Genomic DNA, 12,146 nt, shown 5'->3' with positions numbered 1-12,146 from the left:
CAAGTCTATGCTTCCACCTCTCACCCCTTTCCATGAACACAATTCTTTATCTAGCAACTTAAAAATATAACACATACATTGAAATTTTCTTCTTAAATTTTCGATGGTTTCCCATTGGATTTGTAAAAACACCAACTCATTTTATGTACCCTATAATGAATGTTTGTCATGGTCTGGCACTTGCCTTTCACATATAATTTTGTACCACTTTCTCTCTTGATTATTATATTTCACCTATGTCATCCTCCTTTCTATCTTTGTTACCAGTCGAATTTCTACTTTAGGACTATTATTCTTATGTTATTATTTGCCTGGGTTGTTTGTTTGACTATTTGATTTATCTGTTATCCCTGACTGCAGAATGAAAGCTTCCTGGTAGCCTGCTTCTTTATTTCTAAACTTCCTAAACTCAGAAGTAGAATAAAGTGAGTATTCTTAAACAGTACCTGAAAAACTGTACAGTGAGCAAATAAATTTTGACAATTTTATAGGTCATTAAGCCAGAGTTTAGTTTAACCTAATAATTTAATTTTCTATTATTTTTATCAATATTCGCTTTATGGGATGAAGGCATCATTCTCAGCAACAACAAATACATATTGAATAAATGAGATTGGGAGCAATATCATAGTTTAAACTAGCAAATTGATGAAAAACATAAATATCAAGACATAAAGATGAGCAATGATGCAACTAAAATATGAATCAGATACTGAGCCAAATCATGTCTTCACTCTAGGTTACTGAAAGACATTCTAAGAGTAAACACTGACCTTATCAAAAGATAAGCAGTCTGGTTAGTGTTCATGGAGTGAGCAGAAACACGAATGGGTTAAATGATAACTCAGAAATAGTTGCTGAACAAATGTCCTAACATCTAGTTTAGTCCTAACATCTAGTTTATTCCAGAATGCCATATGAAAGGAAAATGGGTGAGTGTGAAGCTTGTAACCTTGTGCTTAAACTTTCTTATAGCTTTGTGTCATTTTCTGCCTTTGACTATCCAGTGACTCACACCCGTAGGCTGAGGTGGGAAGATCCCTTGACCCCAGGAGTTCAAGACCAGCCTGGGCAATACAGTGAAACCTTGTCTCAGAAAATAAACACACAAACAAACCAAAACAACAACAACAACAACAAACTAGAATTCCTATTATAAGCTACAGAAAAAAAGTTTTTAGATATGAAAGACCTCCTCCATACCCCTTCAATGTGCCTTCATTACATTCTTGATATTTAAATAGGTCTATCACTAGCTGAAAACAACTAAAGAAACATCCTATTGCTATGTGGTAGAGATCCTCAGGATGGTTTTTTGTTGGTTTATTTGTTGGTTTGTTTTTTGCTAAAAAAATTTTTTTTAGAATGTTAGTTTACTAAAAGTAAATTTTCTTCAAACACATGTCCTTGCTAAGTTTGTGTCACACATCCTTAATTTTGTTAGGCAGGTTATCCAACATCCTTAGTTGTCTAGATACTGCTATTGCAGAACAAAGTAAGGAGCTGATCAAGCCCCATGTGACCTTTGCTCTATTCTTGTAAAATGTCTCCATAATAGTGACAATTTACTTCCAGTTATTTTGGAGCCCTGCTTTGAATTCCTATTCTGACAAAATTATTTAAAGTAACAGTACATATTCTAGTAGTATTAAATTTTTTCATTAAAATGATGTAGGAGATTTTAGGAAATTCAGAAGCTGCTTGTATTCTATAAGGCAAAGAATATTTCCTTGGTTAATATGAGAACCTCTAGATATTTCTGATTGTAGCAATGTCATATTCTGTGTTGATATTGAAGTTTATCAGTAAAGAAAGGAGAGAAGAAAGTATTAGTATTGTTTATTTTATTATCATTTTCTTGGTCACAGTGATAATGAGAAATTAATAACTATTTATGAATATCACTTCTTATTCTGTATTTCTGGGTCTAAATAATAGTTGTTCTTCTTGATTTAAATATACATATGCTAATGTGTAAAGCATACATATAATTTCTCAGTGTAAATACAAAACTAATAATTACATGTTTTGGATTTTTTTTTTTTTTTTTTTTTGGTACAGGTTGAGTATCTCTCACCTGAAATACTTGGGACCAGGGACCAGAACTATTTCAGGTTTCAGAATTTTTGGATTTTTTAATTTTGGATTTAGATATATTTGCATATATACATAATATAATATCTTGGGGAGAGGACCAAGGTATAAATATGAATTCATTAATATTTTATATACAGCTTATATACACCTGAAGGTAATTTTATACAATTTTTAAGTAATTTTGTGCATGAAACAAAGTTGTTTATGTGATGTCAGGTGTAGAATTTTCCACTTGTGCCATGATGTGATGCTCAAAATGTTTTAGATTTTTAAGCATTTTGGATTACAGATTTTCAAATTAGGGATGTTTAACCTGTAATTAAATTGTTTTTAGTCTACAGTTGCTCCAAATAGTATTGTCCTCTTTCTACTTGTAATTTAACAAATACACTAGTCAGATATTGCAAAATGATCCAGGTGCTTTTCTTGAATTACCATTATGTTATTTTTAATTTATAAGTTAATTTTGTATATTCAAAAATTATGTTATAATATGTGCTATTTGCAACAATTCTAAACAATGCAGATGTGAATGAAGAAAAATATTTTTAGCCAAACATAAAAATTGAACAGTGCTATAAAGAATATGATTTTGCTCTTCATTCTTTAATATTTGTATAAACATGCAAACAATTCAGTTTATTTTCTTTCTTTTATATATTTTTAAATTGAGTTGCATGAGTTGAGTTTTATATATTTTAAAATTGAGTTGCATGATGCATATTACTCTCCTACTTTTTTTTCACTGCTTCCTCATGGATAACTTTTCAAGTCAGCACACACAAATCTCACTTTTCTTTATTTAACATAGTTTAGAAATTATTATTTATTCAACCATTCCTCTATTTATGAACTTTCAGGATGTTTTAGTATTTTACTTTTGCAATTAACATTACAGTAAACTGATTCGTAAAGATGTTAAAGAAAAACTTCAATGGCACTTGTTAAAACTTATTAAGGAAGATTTATTCAAGACTATTTTTATAGGTTTAAGGATCACTGCAATGGGGCTTGCAGTCAGGGAGAGAAATTGAGCTCAACCCTGAATATAGCGTGAGCAAGTGGGAATTTAGTGCCAAGCAACAGGATGGAGGTCATTGGATGGAAAAGTACTAAAAGGAAACATTAGGAGTAAGAGAGAATCTGTCTAACCCACCTACAGAATTATTTCCAAGGAGAAGCCAGGGTGATCATACATCACCTTCAGGATGATGGAGGCCTGGGAACCTGATCAAATGTTGAGGATAATCAGATATTGAGTGTGGAAGGCTCTTGCTAACTTGACTTAGTTAAAACTAACTTTTATGAAGAAGTGTGCATATGGGCCTAGAAAATTCAGCATCCTGACTAAAGTTTGGCCAGGAAAATAATCTTTTTCAAAGAAAATTGTTTAATTAAAATATCACAAAAATGTATTATATTCTTTTGAATTACACTTTTGATATCGTCCTCAGGCAAACAGATTTTCAGAATTTAATAAATAAATAAAAGCAACTCTAACACTGAGTAGTTTTTTGAAATAAATTATAATTGCAAAGAACTAAAATAACTTCATCAAGAACACACACTACAATTTGAAAAGATTTTTCTCTTTTTCATGGCTCCTACAGAGAAAACAAAAGTGAAAGTGTGGGAAAGAGACAGGTTTTAGTCACAAATATTAGAAATATAAAATAGCATAAAACTTATATGATAGTTCCTCTTCTACTATAGAAATTTATCCTCCAGGATAAATAAATTTGCTTCATGCAGGACAGTTTTAAACATCACTAGTAAATGAAATTATACCCCCTTAGAATATAATTTTACAGTTGAATTTTTTGTCTTTTTAGAGACTGTTACCTTATGTATCCGTCATCTGAGCTTATTTTGGATTACTTTTGGTATAAGACTTTAGTTAATATTGTAATAATTGTATAAAGAAACAATCTTTATTATGTAGGTAGTAGAGGTGATAAATTATCTTGTTAGTGGATGAGAGAAATTTGTTCTTAATGAGATGAAACGAGTGTACATGTATTAAGATAAACTTCAAACCAGGGTTTTGGGTTCTTAGTTCTTCTTTCTATGAGGTCATATTGCTTACCATACACTTGACTGTGCAGTAAATGTTTCCTTAAATGTATTTTCTTTAATATGTGACATGTACATGTAGGTTAAATCACCTAACAGACTAAGAAATTTTCTAGTCACTTAGATGCAGAAACTGTGCAAATGAGAGAGGTAAATATGCTGTTTGAAACCAAAAGTTCATAGAAGTCTACACCTACTGAAAAATGTACACTAAGATTATGTAGGTGACCACCAACCATACTCGTTTCAGGTTTTGGAGTATTCTTATTTCATCCTAATATTGACTCACTGAATTAGGCAGTTTAGAAAATGGATTGGGTAATATATATTCCAATTGTTTCTTCAAATCTCCAACCTACATTCGTGACAATGCTCTTTGCTCCAAGAAGCTATAGCATGCATTGGTTAGGTTTCTTTGCCTTCTGACTGTCAAATAAGTTTTGCAGGAAAATGGAGACTTGGAAGAAAGAGTTGTCTGGGTCCTTTTTGTACCTTTAGCTCTATTTGTCCCTGTATGCAGATTACTGCTCTAACTTCAAACCCCTGAGGCCTAGAATTGGTAAAGGCCTGCTATTTCTGGCTCCACAAAGTGTTGGTTTCTCTTAATCCTGCCTACAAGTGTAAATGGTTCATCCATTGAACCCTCTTGGATGCTCTTTTTGAATGCATCATCTATTTTCTCCATACCTCGTCTGTCATAAAGTTTTTCATTTGTTACAGATACAGCGACTCTTCATTTTAGCTCCAGGTATGTGAAAAGCTAATTTTATGCTATTCAATCAACAGAGAGTAGGGATTGTTAAAAGATATGTTAAGTATTTCTACAATTGTTTAAATCATACTTATCACATTTCTTATACTATTGGGCTTTTATTTTGTATACTATTCTAAATGAATGATAGACTTGTGGACTGCAGGAAAGTAGAGAGATGCATTTCACGAGGCACTTATGTTAAAAAGTGGGTCTCTTGTACACATTCTATTTAAAACTGATGTGTCAAGTGTTCTTGTTGATATAAGAGAGTGATATAAGAGAGTGGGTAAGGATGGTATGTAAGTGTGTGTCTAATTACCTATCTAGGACATCTCATTATCTGAAATCAGGAAAGCTAAAATCTGAAGCAAGCTGATAAAAAGGCAACTGAATCTGTGAGGAAGTGTTCTAAAATAGCATAGCTAAGCAGTCACATCCAACACTTAATAGGTTTATAGGTCATCTTTTCGTAATAACTCCTACAAATCAAAAACAACAGATCAAAATGGAATGATGTGCACTAAAAGATGACTGATAAGCAACAATGACCCGAACAGTCTGCATAGGTGGTATCAATCCTCCCCAACACTTAAACATAACCACAAAATAAAAGGAAGAGACAGTTGAAGAATATACATCAGAAGATATACCCCCACAAACAAATACATTTCAATATATGTGTATATTCTCAAATGAATAACATCTAATATGGATTCTAAAAGAAAGCTACAGCTGAAGATGATCATAGGAAATCAAGAGATGAAGTGAAAGAGTTTAGGAGTTAAACTGAACACTCTAAGTGACCCTGTATGTAAATAGGAATTCTACTGTAAATAAAGGAATATAAAATAGATACTGTTGAAAATGAAATTAGTAGAAAAGAAGATCAGCTTGAGGAACAGAATTCAGCAAATCAGGTATAAAGGAGCAAATATAAAAAGGTAATTCTCTTTTAGGATTTTATACATCTACTAATTTTTAATTTTTGGGTACATAGTAAGTATATATATTTATGGGGTACATGAGATACTTTGATACAGGCATGCAGTAAGTAATAATCACATCATGTAAATGGGGTATCCATGCCCTCAAGCATTTATCCTTTGTGCTACAAACAATCCACTTTTACTCTTTTAGTTATATTAAAATGTATAAATTATTATTGAATACCGTCAGTCCGTTGTGCTATCAAATACTGTCTTATTTATTCTTTCTAACTTCTTTTGGTACCCATTAACTATCTCCACTTCTCTCCCAGCCTCCACCACCCTCCCCAACCTCTGGTAACTGTCCTTCTACTCTCTAACTCCATGAGTTCAACTGTTTAAATTTTTAGATCCCACAAATAAGTGAAAACAGGTGAAATTTGTCTACTGTGACTGACAAATTTTACTTAACATAATGACCTCCAGTTCCATCCATGTTGTTGCAAATGCAGGATCTCATTCTTTTTTATTGCTGAGATGTATTCCCTTGTATGTATGAACCCTGTTTTCTTTATTCATTCACATGTTAATAGACACTTAGACTGCTTCCAAATCTTGGCTATTGTGAACAGTGCTGCAAGAAACATGGTAGCGCAGATATCTCTTTAATATATTGATTTCCCTTCTTTTGGGAATACATTCAGAAGTGGAATTGCTGGAATTTAGGGTAGCTCTAGTTTTAGTTTTTGAGGAACCTCCAGACTGTTCTCGTTAGCAGTTGTACTAATTTACATTCCCAACAACAGTGTACAAGAGTTTCCTTTTCTACCTCTCCTCACCAGCATTTGTTCCTGCATGTCTTTTGGGTAAAAGCCATTTAAACTAGGGTGAGATGATATCTCATTGTAGTTTTGATTTGAATTTCTCTGGTGATGATCAAGGATATTGAGCACTATTTTATATGCCTTTTTTGCCATTTGTATATCTTCTTTTGGGAAATGTCTTTTAAAATATTTTGCCTATTCACTAATTGGGTTATTAGATCATTTCCTATAGAGTTGTTTGAGCTCCTTATATATTCTGGTTATTAATCCCTTATCAGATGGTTAGTTTGCAAATGTTTTCTCCCATTCTGTGGGTTGTCTCTTCACTTTTTTGATTGCTTCTTTCTCTGTGCAGAAGCTTTTTAATTTGATGTGATTTCATTTGTCCATTTTTGCTTGGTTGCCTGTGTTAGTGAGGTATTACTCAAGAAATTTTTCCCAGAACAATTTCCTGTAGAGTTTTCCCAAAGTTTTCTTCATTTCATAGTTTAATGTCTTAGATTTAAGTCTTTAAACCGTTTTGATTTGATTTTTGTGTGTGGTGAGAGATTGGGGTCTAGTTTCATTCTGCATATGAATATCTGGTTTGCTCAGCACCATTTATTTAGGAGACTATCCTTTACCCCAATGTGTGTTTTTGGTACGATTTGAAAAATGACTTCACTGTATTTCATTTCTGGGTTTTCTATTCTGTTCCATTGATCTATGTGTCTGTTTTTATGCCAGTTACCAGGCTGTTTGTGTTACTTTAGCTCTTTACTATAATTTGAAGTCTGTTCATGTGATTCTTCCAGTTTTGTTCTTTTTCCTCAGAATAACTTTGCGTTATTCTAGGTCTTTTGTGGTTCCATAGAAATTTTAGGATTTATTTTTTCTGTTTCTGTGAAGGATGTCATTGATATTTTGATAGAGATTGCATTGTATCTATACATTGCATTGGGTAGTATGGACATTTTAACAATACTGATTCTTCCAACCCATGAACATGGATTTCTATTTTTTTGTGTCCTCTTCGATATTTTTCATCAGTGTTTTGTGTTTTTTATTATAGAGATCCTTCACTTCTTTGATTACTACATATTTAATTTCATTTATGGCTTCTGCTAATGGGATTACATTTTTATTTCTTTTTCAAATTGCTCACTGTTGGCATATAGAAATGCTATGGATTTTTGTATGTTAATTTTGTATCATGCAATTTTACTGAATTTATCAATTCTACTAGTTTTTTGGTAGAGTCTTTAGCTTTTCCACAAAAAGGTAATTTTTAAGAATATAATCATAAACATAAAATATAAGAAAATAATCAGTGTTCTATGGGAAGAAAATAAAATATAGAAAGCAAATGTAAAATTCTCTGAGATGCAGTAGAAGAGATTTTCTAAACTACTTACAGATAGCAAAAATGAAAACATTTCCTGATAAAGACTTAAATCTATAGAATGTGAGAGCTTTTATGGCATTAATCTACATTTATAATTTAATCTAGTTCCATATATAGATAGAAATAAATTTTAGATAGATAGATGTTGCGGGAAGTCAGGGACCAGTTGGAGCCATGGTAGTGGAACATAAATTGTGAAGATTTCATATTAACATGGACATTTATCATTTTCCAAATAATACTTTTATAATTTCTTATGCCTCTCTTTACTTCAATCTCTTAATCCTGTTACCTTTGTAAGCTGAGGATATACGTCACCTCAGGACCACTGTGATAATTGTGTTAACTGTACAAATTGATTGTAAAATGTGTGTTGGAACAATATGAAATCAGTGCACCTTGAAAAAGAACAGAATAACAGTGATTTTAGGGAACAAGGGAAGACAACCATAAGGTCTGACTGCCTGCGGGGTCAGGCAAAAAGAGCCATATTTCTCTTCTTGCAGAGAGCCTATAAACGATGTGCAAGTAGGGAAGATATCGCTAAATTCTTTTCCTAGCAAGGAATATTAATATTAATACCCTGGGAAAGGAATGCATTCCTGGGGGGAGGTCTATAAATGGCCACTGTGGGAATGTCTGTCTTGTGCAGTTGAGATAAGGACTGAGATATGCCCTTGTCTCCTGCAGTACCCTCAGGCTTACTAGGGTGGGAAAAAACTCTGCCCTGGTAAATTTGTGCTCAGACCAGTTCTCTGCTCTTGAACCCTGTTTTCTGTTGTTTAAGATGTTTATCAAGACAATATGTTTTATCAAGACAAAACATAGACCCTTATCAGTGGTTCTGCTTTTTCTCTTTGTCCTGTTTCCTCAGAAGCATGTGATCTTTGTTAGACTCTTATTAGTAGTTCTGCTTTTTGCCCTTTGAAGCATGAGATCTTTGTACCTACTTCCTATTCTTACACCCCCTCCCCTTTTGAAACCCTTAATAAAAACTTCCTGGTCTGAGACTGAGGTGGGCATCACGGTCTTACTGATACATGATGTCACCCCCAGTGGCCCAGCTATAAAATTCCTCTCTTTGTACTGTCTGTCTTTATTTTTCAGCCGGCCAACACTTATGGAAAATAGCACCTATGTTGAAATATTGGGGATGGGTTCCCCCAATAGATAGATATTGTTAAATGTATTCAGCAATAGAAGAAAAATAGCAAATAAAAATTAAACATAAGAAATAATGCTAGACAATAAATATATATTGAAATTTTAAAAACTTAAGTTGTAAGAACAAAAGCTGGGCTCTTCCTAAATTCTTTACTGCAGCAGTCATCATCAGAGTATGTGATAGTAATAGTACAATCATTAGAAGAAAAATAAAAGTCTAGGTCCAAGAACATTTAAAACAAATTAAGTTGTTATTAATGAGTAATAGCTTTTAAATTAATAAAATAACAGTTGTGAAAGCCATACAGACAAAAACATTTCAAGCTTTTTGTACCTAAAGTAGATTCATGTACTAAACCATTTATTTCTCTTCCTTGAAAATGTATTTGATAATAAAAATCCAGCTGTGGCAGGCTGATAAAGACTAATAAAGATTTGTCTATTTCCTAATCCCTGGAGACTGCAAATGTTACCTTTTTGGGAAGAAAACAAAAAAAAAAGCACCTGTGAAGATGTGATTAAATTAAGGATCTTGAATTGAGATCATTATGGATTATCTGGGTAGGGCCTAAATGTAATCACAAGTATACTTATAAGAAAGAGGCAGAGAGGCCGGGTGCAGTGGCTCATGCCTGTAATCCCAGCACTTTGGGAAGCTGAGGCAGTGGGTCACGAGATCAGGAGATCGAGACCATCCTGGCTAACACGGTAAAACACTGTCTCTACTAAAAATACAAAAAATTAGGTGGGCGTTGTGGCGGGTGCCTGTAATCCCAGCAACTTGGGAGGCTGAGGCAGGAGAATGGTGTGAACCCGGGAGGTGGAGCTGGCAGTGAGCTGAGATTGTGCCACTGCACTCCAGCCTGGGTGACAGAGCGAGACTCTGTCTCAAAAAAAATAAAATAAAATAAAAGAAAGAGGCAGAGAAAGATCATACCCCTCCCAACACACACACACATGCTTGTACACACATATGCATGCAAGAAAACAATGTAAAGATGGAACAGAGAGAAATGCAGACATAAACCAGGGAGTGGCAATAGCCACTAGAAGATGGAGAGGCAAGGGTCTGATTCTCTCCTAGAGCTCAGGAGGAAGCACAGCTATGCCTAGGTTTTGATCATGAGCTTCTGTTAAAATAAATTTCAGTGTTGTAAGTCATTACAATGATTAATTTAGTGTGTCAACTTAGCTGGGCCATGTTACCCAGCTTCTTGGTTAAACATGTCTGATAATTCTGTGACAGTATTTCTTAAAGACAGTCTTAACATTTAAATCAGTAGACTTTGAGTAAAGCAGATTGCTATCCACAGTGTAGCTGGGCTACTTTCAATCAGCTCAAGGCCTTAAGATAAAACAGACTAAGGTCTCCCAAGGAAGAGGGAATTCTTTCTCCAGACTGTCTTTGGACTTGAACTGCAACATTAACTCTTCCCTGGTTCTACAGTTTGCCTTTCTACCCTAAAGATTTAGATTCAACAGCCTGCACAATCACTTGAGCCATTCTTTAAAATAAACTTCTAAGACACACACACACACACACACACACACACACACACACACATTTTCCACATTCTATTGGTTCTGTTCCTCTAGAGGAGTCTGATTAATATAACTACCAAGTGTGTAGTAATTTGCTGCAGCAGCCACAGGAAACTAATATACCAGCCAACACAATTATTTTAACATACCAATTTAACACAAATTAAAGATTCAAAAATTAAGGAATGTTGGTATGGAATAATTTTTAATGTATGTCAAATATGTTTAAATATAGATTATAATGCTATAGAATTCTGGACATGTTATTCATGATATGCAACATAAGCATTACAAGTATACTTTTTCAAAAGCTTTTGTCATAATAAAATTTTATCCAATGCCGTGAATGAGCAAAACATATTATCCAAAGCCTTAAGAATGAGATAACTAAAAATATACTGTAACACTATTAAATTATATACATTAATTGCATACAGAAATAAATTATATACAAGGAAACATGTAAACTAACACACACATGTTCATATTCAAGGGAACATAAAGAACAAAACACATACATAAAAAACAAACAGTCACATATGTAATACACATAAAAAGAAGAATAGTCAAAAGATAGCAGAAAAAGAGAATTGTAGAAAACTCTTAACACGAAAGTCAAAAATTACCTCCAAACCAATATTTCTGTCTTAGTAATATAGATACTTTATAACTGTGTTGCTAATTAAAGCTCTAAAGAATTTTGATGTACATTTCACATATAACATTCTGCGGTTTAAATATTTTATAATAAGTATATGCGACTTTATTACATTAAAAAATTGACTTTCCACTTATGGCCATAACAAAGAAAATGATACTGGATTTGCCCTTCCATTGTATATAGCTAAAAAAATGAACAAATTATATGAGGCAATTTTTCCTTTGGCATCAGACAACAGACAGCAAAGGACTATGATACTTGACATAAGGGAAATTATTAAGAAGGACTCTAGATTTACTACAATTTTGGCTTTGTGGTACATTCAGAAATGTCCAAGAAATGGACCACTAATAGAGCAAGTTGGTTTTATAGAGCTCAGGAGTTAGAGATGAGTTACAGACTGCTGAAATAGCTGGATAGGGTAGAAAAGAACAGAAAACTACTCAAATGAAGAGGCTAGATATTTATGTGAAGACTGTCCACAGTTCCTACATATGCACATGGTGAAAATATTCAAGACTTTGCAGAAACCACTACTGAGGGGCTGAGATCTGAAAATAGGGAATAGAGGTTGTGCATTCCGGAGTGATATCAGAGTTTTGGCCAAATCAGAATTGAGAGACCTCCCTCAGTGCATTGAAACATCAAAGATCCTGGGTATTAGCCTCTAGTGTAAGAATTTTGCCCTAGTACCAATGAAAAAACTAAACACACAGACACG

The 12,146-nt window shown here is 33.4% G+C and overlaps 1 annotated feature.

Moving 5' to 3' along the window:
- Window positions 878–1,078: a silencer, noted in NCBI's record as "peak5387 fragment used in MPRA reporter construct". NCBI's record gives its function as "represses an SCP1 promoter by STARR-seq MPRAs in K562 erythroleukemia cells {active_cell/tissue: K562}" and the evidence as "EXISTENCE:reporter gene assay evidence [ECO:0000049][PMID:32103011]".

Source organism: Homo sapiens, chromosome 5 (genome assembly GCF_000001405.40).
Source record: "Homo sapiens chromosome 5, GRCh38.p14 Primary Assembly".
NCBI classification, from domain to species: Eukaryota; Metazoa; Chordata; class Mammalia; order Primates; family Hominidae; genus Homo; species Homo sapiens.
The sequence above is the reverse complement of the archived record's forward strand: the minus strand, read 5'-3'. Positions and strand labels throughout refer to the sequence as shown.